The sequence below is a fragment of the Homo sapiens genome, chromosome 5, assembly GCF_000001405.40.
Source record: "Homo sapiens chromosome 5, GRCh38.p14 Primary Assembly".
Classification (NCBI taxonomy): Eukaryota; Metazoa; Chordata; class Mammalia; order Primates; family Hominidae; genus Homo; species Homo sapiens.
Genome location: NC_000005.10, coordinates 34481316 through 34495152, shown reverse-complemented (window position 1 = coordinate 34495152; position 13837 = coordinate 34481316). Strand labels below are relative to the sequence as shown.

At 44.1% G+C, this 13837-nt stretch overlaps 4 annotated features.

Annotated features, from left to right (window-relative positions):
* Positions 3664-4239: an enhancer, noted in NCBI's record as "H3K27ac-H3K4me1 hESC enhancer chr5:34491019-34491594 (GRCh37/hg19 assembly coordinates)". NCBI's record gives its function as "activates a minimal SCP1, AML or CMV promoter by ChIP-STARR-seq in primed H9 embryonic stem cells {active_cell/tissue: H9 hESC(primed)}" and the evidence as "EXISTENCE:reporter gene assay evidence [ECO:0000049][PMID:30033119]".
* Positions 8708-8867: an enhancer, noted in NCBI's record as "active region_22462". NCBI's record gives its function as "activates an Ori minimal core promoter by ATAC-STARR-seq in GM12878 lymphoblastoid cells {active_cell/tissue: GM12878}" and the evidence as "EXISTENCE:reporter gene assay evidence [ECO:0000049][PMID:35858748]".
* Positions 11179-11721: an enhancer, noted in NCBI's record as "OCT4-NANOG-H3K27ac hESC enhancer chr5:34483537-34484079 (GRCh37/hg19 assembly coordinates)". NCBI's record gives its function as "activates a minimal SCP1, AML or CMV promoter by ChIP-STARR-seq in naive and primed H9 embryonic stem cells {active_cell/tissue: H9 hESC(naive and primed)}" and the evidence as "EXISTENCE:reporter gene assay evidence [ECO:0000049][PMID:30033119]".
* Positions 11722-12265: an enhancer, noted in NCBI's record as "OCT4-NANOG-H3K27ac hESC enhancer chr5:34482993-34483536 (GRCh37/hg19 assembly coordinates)". NCBI's record gives its function as "activates a minimal SCP1, AML or CMV promoter by ChIP-STARR-seq in primed H9 embryonic stem cells {active_cell/tissue: H9 hESC(primed)}" and the evidence as "EXISTENCE:reporter gene assay evidence [ECO:0000049][PMID:30033119]".

Sequence of the window (13837 nt, the reverse complement as noted above, 5' to 3'; positions counted from 1 at the left end):
CTCTGTAATTGTCTGTGTTTAACTTCCCTCCTCTTATAAGGACATCAGTCATATTGGAATAGGACCCTTCCATATGACCTCTTTTTATCTTAATTACCTCTTTGAAGTCTCTATGTCCAGATATATCACATTCAGAGGTACCAGCGTTTAGGACTTGAACACATGAATTTGGAGGGGGTGAGACCCAGTTCAGCCCATGACTAAACCTCACCTTTTCTTCCCCTAGTGATTAATTCAAAGAGAGCATATGGAAACTATATTCCCTGAATTCTTGTACATTCAAAAACATCGTACTATAGCTTTCTTTTTAGGTTACTTTTTTCTCTTGAAACCTGGAAGGCATTGTGCTATTGACTTCTAGTCTTGTAGGTTGTTATGGGGAAAGTCTGAGGCCAGCAAAATGTTTTTCCAGCTCCAACTGCGGGACACATGAAGGAGGTCACATCCAGAGACACTCAAAGAAGAGGAGGACTACAGCCTCATGAATGACCCTGAGGGAGACCACCCAAAGAACTGTCTGACTGAACACAGCCCAAACTGCTTACCCACAGGGTCTTTAGCCAGTAAAATAGTTGTTTTGAGCCACTATGTTGTGGGGATGGTTTGTTACACAGCAATTGATAACTGACACACAGAGCTAGCAGGAATTCTCCCTGGATCACTGTGCTGTTTCTTATGACTTGGGGTTGTTTGGGTGGGTGAATAGTTTAGCCTGTGTTTCTCTCCAGATAATTGACAGCAGCTGCAGAGTTACTCATAATGCAGTGTGGAAACGCTTGCTTCCTCCTGTCTCCCAGATAGACTGCTTCCTGTGCATATGTGAATCTGAATCTGAGTGAATCCTCTCTCAGCACCACATTCTCAACTTCTCACAGGGGCTAAACTTGGCTCCTACTCTCTGGTGTCCCCCACCTCTCTCAGCTCCTCCCTGCCTTCCTGTTTGACTTGCAGTGGGTTTGGCATTCTTTCATCAGATATCGCAGTTGGGGTTGCAAATATTACATAGGTTTATCACACATAGGGCTGCATTTCTGTTTCTTGATTTTTTTGGGGGGGATAGGAGGGTGTGAAAAAGAGGCACTTCTAGGTTTGCTGTGACATTAAAAAATATTAGGATAAAAAAATTTTAAAAATATTAATCTGTTCAGGCTGCTGTAACAAAATACCATAACCTAGGTGGCTTATAAACAATAGAAATTCAGTTCTGATGGTTCTGGATGCTGAGAAGTTCAAGACCAAGTTTCCAGCAGGGTCCGTGTCTGCTGAGCACTAGCTCTCTGGTTCAGAGATGAACTTTTCACTGTGTCCTCATGCTGTGGAAGAGGTGAATAAGCTCATTTGGACCTCTTTTATAAGGGCACTAATCCCATTCATGAGGGATCCATCCTTTTGACTCAATCACCTCCTAAAGGCCCCACTTCTTTTAACTGCCATATTGGGGATTAGATCTCAAAATATGAATTTTGGGGAGACACTAACGTTTGAACCATAGCAGCGGCCAACATAAGATTGTCAATTTTTTAATATAAGAAGATTTAAAAAGAGCAGCTGTGGCCAAACAAAAATATGACAAAAAGCTCATCATCACTGGTCATTAGAGGAATGCAAATCAAAACCACAATGAGATACCATCTCATGCCAGTTAGAATGGTGATCATTAAAAACTCAGGAAACAAGAGATGCTGTAGAGGATGTGGAGAAATAGGAAACTTTTACACTGTTGGGAGTGTAAATTAGTTCAAGCATTGTGGAAGACAGTGTGGCGATTCCTCAAGGATCTAGAACCAGAAATACCATTTGACCCAGCGATCCCAATACTGGGTATATACCCAAAGGATTATAAATCATTCTACTACAAAGACACATGCACATGTATGTTTACTGCTGCACTATTCACAATAACAAAGACTTGGAACCAACCCAAATGCCCATCAATGATAGACTAGATAAAGAAAATGTGGCACATATACACCATGGAATACTATGCAACCATTAAAAAGGATGAGTTCATGTCCTTTGCAGGGACATGGATGAAGCTAGAAAGCCTCATTCTCAGCAAACTAACACAAGAACAGAAAACTAAACACTGCACGTTCTCACTCACAATTGGAAGTTGAGCAATGAGAACACATGAACACAGGGAGGGGAATATCACACACTGGGGCCTGTCAGGGGGTGGGGGACTAGGGGAGGGACAGCATTAGGACAAATACCTAACATAGGTGATGGGTTGATGGGTGCAGCAAACCACCATGGCACGTGTATACCTATGTAACAAACCTGCGCATTCTGCACATGTATGCCAGAACTTAAAGTAAAATTAAAAAAAGAGCAGCTATTTTTCATTATCATCACCCTTTCAGAAAAGAAATCCATTATAATACCTTATAATTACAAGTCTATAAACTCAGAAAAAAGGATAATCCTTCTTAAGAGAGAATTAAGATATAATGTACTTTAATATTTGTGTTTATGGGAAATACTAATGGATGGAGACGCAGAAAACTTGCAATTTAAAATTAGATTTCACTGAGTGCAGTGGCTTAGGCCTGTAATCCCAGCACTTTGGGAGGCTTAGGTAGGAGGATCCCTTTAGCCTAGAAGATTAAGACCAGTCTGGGCAACAAAGGGAGACCCCATCTCTCTTAAAAAAAAAAAAAAAAATCACAAGGTCAGGAGATCGAGACCATCCTGGCTAACACGGCGAAACCCTGTCTCTACTATAAATACAAAAAAAAAAAAATTAGCCGGGCGAGGTGGCGGGTGCCCGTAGTCCCAGCTACTGGGGAGGCCGAGGCAGGAGAATGGCGTGAACCCGGGGGGCGGAGCCTGCAGTGAGCCGAGATCGCGCCACTGCACTCCAGCCTAGGCGACAGAGACAGACTCGGTCGCAAAAAAAAAAAAAAAAAGTAGAGCCAGGCACAGTGGTGTGTGCCTGTAGTCCCAGCTACTCAAAAGGCTGAGGTGGGAGGATTGCTTTAGCCCAGGAGTTCGAGGTTGCAGTCAGCTATGATCACGCCATTGCACTGCAGCCTGGGTGACAGAGCAAGACCCTGTCTCAGAAAAAAAAAAAAAAAAAAGATTTTACCCAATTTCCCTTTGACTAGTCTGTCATGAAAGTGAGACTACAAACTGTAAAAGAACGTTAATCTTCATGTTTAGGAAGAAACTCATCTCTCTCCTTTCCCGCACAAAGTCATTTTTAAATTATCTTAAGGTAGCGATGATTTTGATGCTCCATCAGGTTCCACTCTTTTTGATAAAATAGTTAACCGTAATAATCTCCTCTGGCTCAAGCCGTTTCTGACTTTAGGCCCTGTAAGCGCTCTGGACAAGCTCTATTGTTTATATGGAGCAGCAAATGGGTTGGAGGGTATTTTGAAGTTAGAGCAAGCATTTGGCTGCAGAACTAAGGTCACCAGCACTCCACCATCTTTATTTGTCCCCCATTTACCCCGTCGCTGCCTGGCCCTGTCTGCAGACTGTGGTTTCCGGGACACATGGGCTAAGCCTGGCAGCACAGGGCCGCAGATTCTCAAAGCTTTACCTCTGGATTCAGTCACTAGAAAGCTGTGCAGATGGTGTCACATCTCTCTCGAGCACTTAGTGGCTCTGGAGTAAATATTTGTGGGATAATAAATGAACAGTTTACTGCAGGACTCGCTGAAGTCTGCCTAGGGCCACATCTTGAGACAGGCTGCCTGCTCCCGCTGTCCCTGCCATCCCCCCAGCGTCTGGCTCACCCACGGTCTATTCTGCATGTCTGCTGCATGCATTCAGCTTAGAAAAAGCCGACTCCCAGAGGGCAGACACTAATATGAGTGCAATTGAGGATACTTTTTTCTTCTTTTCAGAGAAAATGAATGAGGAGTCATTCAGAAGCCTAAGGAGAAGATCTAGGAGGAGCTGATAGAAGAACAGCCAGTGCTGCTGAGGACTGGCTACTGTGAAGGTTGTGCAGTTTGGTGGGAGCCCTGGGGAACTCCCTTCTATCCTGTGTGTGATTGAAACCCTCACCCCACAATAAACACACACACAAACACACACACAGACACACACACATACAAATCCAGAGAAATGCAAAGCCTGCTCTTGCTGGGTGGGCCTCATGGCTGCTCCTCTGATCAATGGCCCACCAGAAAGGGACAAATAGACTAAAAACAAAGTTTGTGTCTAAGAACACAAAAGTGGTTTCTCCAATGGGAAAATAGGCCCGGGCTCTGTGGAGCTCCTCCAGAAAGCCCAGCATAGGGCCCAGGAGGGGCCAACCCCCCCCCACCACAGCCACCACCGCCCCCCCGCCCCCGCCAACACCCCCCCGCGCCACCACTGCCCCCGCCACCCTCCCCTCCCGCCCCTGCCACCCCCGCCCCCTGCCCACCCCCGGCCAGCCGCTGTTTCCTTGCTGCTGCTTTCACCTCCGGCTCCACTCACTTGCTGATACTTTTCCCCACTTGAAATCTGAGCCCAGGCTGATGGTTGTCAAATCCCATGGGCCCAGTGCTTACAACAGGGACACAGAGAAATGGCCTTTGAAGCCTGCACTTGAATTCAGCCTTGCCTCTCGCTAACTGTGTCATGAGGAGCAAGCCACTAAATCTCACGGAAGGTGAAGTTCCCTAGTCTATAGAGGGTGACTCCTCCTGGTACCTGGTACCTGTAAGGAGGCTGCGCATCCAAACAAATCAACCCAGTCAAGGAACCACGTTTAGTAATGGGATAACTAGATGCTAATTAATTGTACCTCTTCCCCCTCACTCCAACTTACCTTATGTACCAGTAGTCAAAAAAGGACGGGCAAGAAGGGAGAGAAGGAAAGGGAAAGAAAAAAGTAGAAGACTGACAAGACCATTCCTGGGTCCTTTAAGTAGTTTCAACAACTGTAAAAATTACATAGCAATCAAAAAGACTAGAAGAAAACCTAAGATATTAAGCAGTGAAGGTTATTTGTCAGTGAGAGAAATATAATTTTTATTTTCTACTTTCATAATAAAAAATACTTTTTTAATTTTTTTTTTTTTTGAGACAGAGTTTTGCTCTTGTTGCCCAGGCTGGAGTGCAGTGGTGTGATCTCGGCTCACTGCAACCTCTGCCTCTTGAGTTCAAGTGATTATCCTGCCTCAGCCTCCCAAGTAGCTGGGATTACAGGCACCCGCCATCATGCCCAGCTAATTTTTGTATTTTTAGTAGAGACAGAGTTTCACCATGTTGGACAGGCTGGTCTCGAACTTCTGACCTCAAGTGATCTACCTGCCTCAGCCTCCCAAAGTGCTGGGATTACAGGCATGAGCCACCGTACCTGGCTTGAAAAAATACATTTTAAAGATAATCCCCTCCCCCCAATACTTCTCCCCAACTCCTCCTGTTTTGCACATGTTTAACATGTGCAATGTCACAGGGCGCCTTAGTTGGAGCATGAGGCATCCTGAGTCCTTGATGACACAGGCAGGCAGCAAAGGAGGAGGACACTCACATGGGAAAAATAAACACTGGGAAAGGGAGAGAAGCCAGACACCCAGCCCAGCAAGGAGCACAGACAAGGAGAAACCCCGGGTGGCAGACACTATTGGCTCTGGGGGATCATGAGGAGCCCAGGTAGGGCGTGAAAGGTGAGGGGATAAAGGTATCACTAGCAAGACCTGGGTGGGATGACAAGACAACAGCCAAATAGGCTGGGGCCCCAAGGGCTAATCTTAATATGGAAGTAAGGTGATGATGATAGGGAAATCGAGGCAGAAGCTCAGTTCTGTGGTTGCCAAGCACAGAAACCCTTTTACTTAAAATCTCCATGACACCCAGGGTTCTTCCCAGAACACAGAACCCAGGAGATGGGCGTGTGACATGATGTCAGGTCACACTAGGTCTGAGGCTGACATGCTGATGTTCTTTCTGCTGCTGGCCTGATAAACTCAGAACATGGGCAAGGCTGAGCCCGAGGTAGAGGACAGCAATGACCAAAACTGTGAGGAGCTGTTGATGGACAGGAGGGTGAAGATATCAAGCTTCAGAGCTGTCAGTTCCAAGGTGGAGGACTGGCTCAACAGGAAGGTCTAGTAACACAGGGTGGTGGTGGGGCGGGGGTGGCTCTGCTATCTGCACACGAGTAGGAGAAGCCAAGGAAACTCTGGGCTTTATCACAGCTTAAAAAAAAAAAAAGTCCCATAGCATAAAAATGCAAAGAATTTATCAATAGTGAAGTTCTGTGAATGATCATGAAATAAGCTTTCTTTTAAAAAGATTTTCTATAAGAGAAGAAATACATATTTATTATAAAGTTAAAAAAATAGAGAAAGGTATAAAGATGACAACAACATCACCAAAGCTCCATCATCCAGAGATAACCCACAGATAACATTTTGGTATATTTGCTTCAGTTTATGTTTTATTAAAAATAAAAAGGCATTAGTTTCTCCAAGGTGGGGCAAATAAAAAAATAAAAAGACAAAAATCAAAACATTATTGATTTTTGTTTTAGTTTCTTCTAAACTTAAATAAATTGCATATGTATTTTATAATATTTTCTGATGTCTTGAGGATGTATGTGTCAACAACATTTTTATTGGTGGCAATATATTTTATTAAATTAATATATCAAAATTTATGTAAACATTCCCTTACTGTTTGGCAGTAAATGGGCTTCATTTTTTTTGTTATAAATAATAATGAGGCAAAAATGTAAGCATTCAAACCTGCTTATGTCCCCGACAATTTCTGATGATAAATTCCTAGAAGTAGAATGACTAGATCGCTTACACATTTTCTATGATTTCTCTGCGTAGCTCAGTGACTCTATTATCTCTCCTGCTAAACTCAGTTTCTTACAAAACAAAATACAATGAAACTTTGCTAAATAAATAGACAAAAGTAGTATTGGCATACATTTATCCTATGATGGGTGATAAAATGAAGATCCAAAAGCTTTTGGCAGGCTGGAACAGCATCTCAGATGTTTCCAATGACAATTCTTAGGGATATGGTCTGGCATTTAGAGTCACCAGACCAAACGAGTGAAGTACAAGATGAAAGAGATGTGACATAACAACAGGCAAGAGGAGTCATGTGAATCAAAAAAAAAAAAAAAAAATGCTCACTATCTTTGGCCGTAATAATAAAAGTATAGAGTCCAGAACAGGAGGATGATGGTCCTGCTCTGCTCTGCGTGGTCAGAGTCACCCTCAGTACTTGGCCCCACACAGTAAAGGAAACACTAATAAATAGCCCCTGCTCAGAGGAGAGATCAGAATAACAAGAAATAACCTATGTGATCTCACTTTTCTGTATTGAGACTTGGTAGCCATGTCTATGTTATGTGACGCAGGCCCCTGCCCAGGGTTGGCTAATCCCAGGTAGGTCTTCAGAATCTCAATAGGAAGTTGAAATTGACATGAAAGTCACCAATGAGTTACGTGAATGGCAGGACTGCAGTAGGAGGACGCTGACTCCTGCTCTGAATCCCAGCAACTTCCTTCTCAGGTTGGAGATGTTTAATTCCTCTTTTGATTCTATGAGACATCTCAGGTAAAGCTCACCAGAGCCTGTTTCTGTAACTTGCAACTGAAGTATTAATAGAACTGTGCTAGTACACTACGGAAATGTTGAAACAACCATGGTGTTTATTTTGGAGGAGAAAAGACTTAGAGGGAAACATAAGAGCTGTGGGCAAATATTTGAAGGACTGGTCACCGAGAAGCCGAGTCAGGCTTGTTTCACAAGGCCTCAAATGGCAGAACTAGAAAGGTGCAGGGTCCATTGGATTTCCTCAAAGATCGGAGTTGCCTTGGGAAAGAGAGCGTTCTCAGTGCAAATGTCCACATGTTTTTGTGCAACCTCATGACGACTCTTGTAGAGGCATTCGAGCATTAAATGTTACTGCTTTCAGAGCGCTCCTCTGGTCTGGGCAACCACCCTTGTTCATCCCTTTAACTTTTATTTAAGGTACCCTTGGAAGGCCATTCCTGGGATTTGGGTGCCCCTGGGGCAATGAGGTCAAAGACATATACAGAAGGTCCACAACTGACCATGGTTTGACCTAAGATTTACGATGGTGCAGAAAAAATATGTGTTCAGTAGAAACTATACTTCAGAATTTGAACTTTGATCTTTTCCAGGGCTGGTGATAATATAGTACAATGCTCTCTCATGATGCCAGGCAGGGGTAGTGAGCAGCAGCTCCAGTCAGCAACAAAGTCATGAGGACAGACAACTGATACTGTGCTCTACAGTGTACTGTGTTCAATAAATTACACGAGATATTCAACACTTCATGATAAAATAGGCTTAGGTGTTACATGATTTCACCCAACTGTAGGCTAATGGAAGTGTTCTCAGCACGTTTGTGGTAGGCTAGGCTAAGCTATGGTGTTCAGTAGGTTAGGAGTATTAAATGCATTCTCTACTTATGATAATTTCGGCTCACGATGGGTTTACAAGACGTAGCCGCATAAGTCAAGGAACATCTGTACTCTTGGAAGTCACTCTCTTTGGAGACTTCAGGAAAATAGCAAGCAGTTGATTACATCGTTCTAAACATTCTATCATTGTTGATTAAATTAAATTCAGTACAGGATGTTTTTATACTTTAAAGATATAAGCCAAATAGTCTGTGAATTTTGGGGTGGTTTGCTTTGCCTGCTTTGATTATCTTCTGTATGTCAGGAGAGCTGACAAAATTGTTTGCCTTTCTGCCTCCGATACGTTTGCCTACTCCAACCTCCTGCATACTCTTTCTAACAGATGATTTTGTTCCCAGCGGGTCTGAATCGAATCCCAACAGAAGGAAGAGCAGCGCCACCTACTGGGCACGGATTCTCGAGCTTTTTATTCTGAGTATTTACTCCTGTTCTTGGGAGACAACCCCGTTAAAAGTCGCATCACAGAACCCAAATGACATAATCTGAGTCCCCAGTGACATTCTGGAAGAATCTGGAATAATTAAATATCCCACCATTAGTTGGATGGGGCTTCTGAGGTTTGCTTCCAAAGGGAAAGAGACTTAATAAAACAGGCTTCTCCAACAATCCATTATTCTCCAGGTTTACAAAGGCTACCCACCAGTTGGTCAGGCTTTGAGAGCATTTTGGAAGGATCCCGAGTTTTTCTGAAAAAGGAACCATATTTTCTAAAAATCTACAACCTTATTTAAAGCATCTTGAAGAAATACAAAATACAGACACAAGATGGACCAAATGTTAATGGCTTAATTTAACCCATAAGCCTTCCCAAAACTCAAAGAAGTGTTTGGATCTGGTGAGGATCTTGCTTGGCTAGGCAACCTTGCTTGCTTAGTTGTTCTTTCAGTTTAGCTAACATATGAGAGAGGAAAGTGTACAAACAGACCTCTTGTCTTGAGCAGCTGCCTGTCAGCCAGTTGATGAATTGTCTGCCATCTTCTGTTAATGTCCAGGAACTGGTAACTGAGTGGGAAACCCAGTCACTCAGGAAAGAATTGGGCTGTATCTGATACAGTATCAACTAGAATTGTTTTCAAAGCTGTAAACGAAAACAGCTGCAAGGGTAAAGTTCCTGTGCAGGGTGGCCAGGTGCAGTGGCTCATGCCTGTAATCCCAGCACTTTGGGAGGCCGAGGCAGGTGGATCACCTGAGGTCAGGAATTTGAGACCAGCCTGGCCAACATGGTGAAACCCCATCTCTACTAAAAACACACACAAAAACATTACCCAGGTATGGTGGCAGGTGCCTGTAATCCCAGCTACGTGGGAGGCTGAGGAAGGAGAATCACTTCAACCTGAGAGGTTGAATGCAGTGAGCCAGGAATGCCCCACTGCACTCTAGCCTGGGTGACAAGAGTGAAACTCCATCTCAAAAAACAAAACAAAACAAAATAAATAAATAAAAAATAAAAGTTCCTGTGCAGGGCTTGTGTACATATTTGGGTAGCTTCACTGAAGTGTCTCAAGGGCCTAAACTGCGCCTGATTCACAGGAGGACTCAATAAATATTTCTAGAGTGAATGAAGGGGTGGGGGTGGGAGGTGAGGTTGCAGGGAAAAGGCAGTGATCACAGACAGTCAGACCACAAGACACCTTAGAACAGCAGCCCCCAGCCTTTTTGGCACTAGGGACCAGTTTTGTGGAAGACAATTTGGAAGGGGTTGCGGTTGGGGAGGTTGGAGAGGTTGGGGAGGAGTGATGGTTTCAGGATGATTCAGGCACATTACATTTAGAATCAGTGGGAGCTGAGCTTGTTTTCCTGCAACTAGATGGTCCTCTCTGGGGATGATGGGAGACAGTGACAAATCATCAGGCATTAGATTCTCATAAGGAGTGCACAGCCTAGATCCCTCACGTGCACAGCTCACAATAGAGTTTGTGCTTCTATCAGAATCTGATGCCTCCACTGATCTGACAGGAGGCAGAGCTCAGGGAGTAATGTCAGCTGCCCGCCGTTCACCTCCTGCTGTGCTGCTGATTCTTAATAGGGAAGGGACCAGTACTGGTTCATGGCCCAGGGGTTGGAGACCCCTGCCTTAGACAACATGCAGCCCAGTGGATTTCAAAGAGTGCTCTGTGAACACCAGGGCTCCACAGAGGGGCTTGGATGGCTGTTCAAATGTTTTATTCCAATGTCATTAAAAATACATTTTAGCCTGTGATAAAAAGTGCTATTAAAATGCATATTCAAATTTACTGACACACCCAAATGCATTACTATATGCTGCCTGATTAGCTAGGTTTTTTTTGGATTCATTTTGGTTTTGATGACCTCAGATTCAAACCTGTTCTGCTCTAGTTAATGAGTGCCCTTATTTGGCAAGGCAATCACTGAAAAAATAGAAAGAGAGAGAGAGAGGAAGGAAGGCTTTGCAAACACCCTTTTGGATCAATCAGGATATTTTGTGATACATGACAACTAAAATAAGATACACAAACAGCCTTGTTTCATTATTTTATAATCCAATATGTATTTGAGGTTGTTTATATATATAAACATATATTTTATATTTACATCTGCTTTTTAATATTAAAGTTCTGGGGAAAAATTGGGTGTTGCTAACAAATAATTATAAAGCCACCCCTTTCAAACTCCTCATTTTGCAGAAGAGGAAACTAAGTCAAAGAGCCATGATGAACTCCCTTGACCTCTCAGGATGGATTACTAGCAAACCCCAGAACTTGAACCTAAGTTTTAGTTCTTTCTAAATTGCAAATTGTCCTAATGTTTGTTGTTGTTATTAAATATAGTTTAGTTTTGGATGAGACCTCTTGTTGGCAAATGAATTCAGTTCTCTAATGTGAATTTCCTTTTGTTTGGGGGCATGAAAAATGTTAGCAAACAGCCTTCATGTAACATTAAATGTCTTTTTGAATTAACCTGTAGCATCTTAAAGGACAATGATTATGAATACAAAACTACTGACTCATCGTATAGCCACGAAAGAGTTTACAGCTGCAACAAAATCACAGGTCTATTGTCTGGCTTCTGAGACCCCGCAGAGAGAAGGGAGGCAAGCGCTCTCCACCAGCTGTTGAGCTGAAAGCCCTTTTGTGCTTTCTGAGTTGAATCACAGTAGTTTGTGTTTTTGTTTTCTGGTCATGTGATTTTTGAAAGACACCGCAAAAACATGTTTCTAACCCTCTCCCACCAAAAATTGCACCCTGACCCCCCACTTCAGGCAGTGAGTAGGCAAGACAAGGTGGAGGTGTAGAGATCTGGACTCTTCCAGCAGCCTTTCTGTCATCAAGTGGGGCTTGAAACAGGTGATCTAACATGGCTTTGCAGAAATGGTGTAAGTTGATTTCAGAAAGCCTGTATGAGTCCTGTTAGAACCCAAATGGGCTGTGACGGCAGAGTTTCTGCAGGGACAGAATGTGTGTTTCTAATTGGAAGGTGCAGCAAGTTGGAATTCCCTTTGTGTTCTGCCCCTGTGTATGTCATGTGTTGTCACTGTGGCTGGGTGCTATGGACTGAATGTTTGCATCTCCTTGAAATTCACATGTTGAAGTCCTAACCCCCAGTGGGACAGTATAAGAAGGCGGGACCTTTGGGAGATAATTAGGTCTCATGGGTGGGGCCCTCATGATGGGATTAGTGACCCAATAAAAGGAACTTCAGCAAGCTCTCTTTCCACAATGTGGGGACACAACCAGAAGAAGACATTCGCAACCCAGAAGAGGGTCTTCACCAGGGCCCAAACTGGCTGACACCCTGAACTTAGACTTCTAATCTTCAGAACTGTGAGGAGTAAATTTCTGTTATTTGCAAGTCCCCAGGCTGCAGTGTTGTGTTGTAGCCAATGGACTGAGTCATGGGGCCACCCATCTACCCCTTCCCCTTTCTCCTTAACCCTCCTTTACCTCATAAGCCCATTGCTGTCACTGTCCCAGTCCTCCCAGACCTGGCCCTCACTCTCCTTCCCTTCACTCCCACGGGGCTCAGTCCTGCTGTTCTTACACAACTGTCTGTGCTGTCCCATTACTGGTCTTGAAACAGGAGAGTTCTCCAACCCCCTTGCAGAACTAGAGACAGGGATATGGCTCATTTGCTTGGCCACTGCATGCTCAAACCCCTTACGGGATGGGGAGCATACAGATGGGCAGGTGGAGGAGCTGGGGCAAGCACTTTTGGGCTCTGACCCCATGGTAGCATCCAGCGGTGTGTTACAATTAATGCTCATTTAGCAGTTGCCATCCACAGATGGCTAAGTATTAAACTAGCTCATTGGAGAGTCAAGGTGACAGCCTTTTGCACCCTGCCCTCTTGGTACCTGGGTCTTCATCCAGTGTCCAGGAAGAATCAGGTCACATGAACTTGAAGAATGGTGAATGTGGGGATTTTATTGAGAGGTGGAGGTGGCTTTTAGCAGGATGGGTGGGGAGCTGGGAAGGGGATGGAGTGGGAAGATGATCTTCCCCTGGAGTTCCATCATTCTATGGCCTATCTCCTCTCTGACAGTCCCCAGTCAAACTCCTCTTGATGTTCAGATGCTCCTTATCTTCTCCCCTTCTCTGCTGTGCCACTCTGCTGCTCTGTGCTCTTCTGCTCGTGGAGCCTGAGGTTTGGGGTTTATATGGGTACAGGATAGTGGGGTGTGATGGGCCAAAAGGCAACATTAGGGCACAAAAACAGGAATGCCTGTTCCCATTTAGGGCCATGGGTTTTCAGGCTTGAGGGTGGGGCTTTTGCCAGGGAACCTCCCTCTTCTACCCAGTGTTTCCCAGCCTCCTGTCCATATCGGTCTTATTAACCAAAAAGTGACTGAGGCAAGTGTCTCCATTGATAGAGGATTTTTAGCCAAAATTTGAGGATACACTAGGGAAACAAGTCACAGGAGCCTCGGTGACTTGCACTTTTTCCAAATAAAGTTTTGGGAACTTCAGCATTTACAGGGGAAAGAGCAAGTAGGAAGGGGAAAGGGAGGAAGGGTGGACAGCAAAGCAGATGGTCATGTTCTTGTGAGGCTCTGATTAGCGCTCAGTAAATCTACATTTTTTACCTGAAAAGAGGGAGTAAAGGAAAAGGTCTCGCTTGGTATATCTACATCTTACATAAGGTAAACATGTAAAAAGAGGGAATGGGACAAGTCAATGATGCATTCTTCTCAGGGTGGGTGGAGGGTGATTTCTGGTGTTGTCCTCTACCTGTGAAAATAAGCTGGCAATTGATATTGTCAGGGTGAGAGTCAACAGAACTCAGATTTAGGGCCCATTTATAGGAGGGATATGTATCTAAAAGATTTAGGGGCTCACAAAAAATGTGCTTGTGAGCAATTTGTGAGGGAGCACACCTAGAGAGGTATGTGGCCTTCTATTGTTGTAGGAATCTGGCTTCTGGATGAGGCTATGACATGGGCTGTGAAGTTACAGCTATCTGTTTGGGAA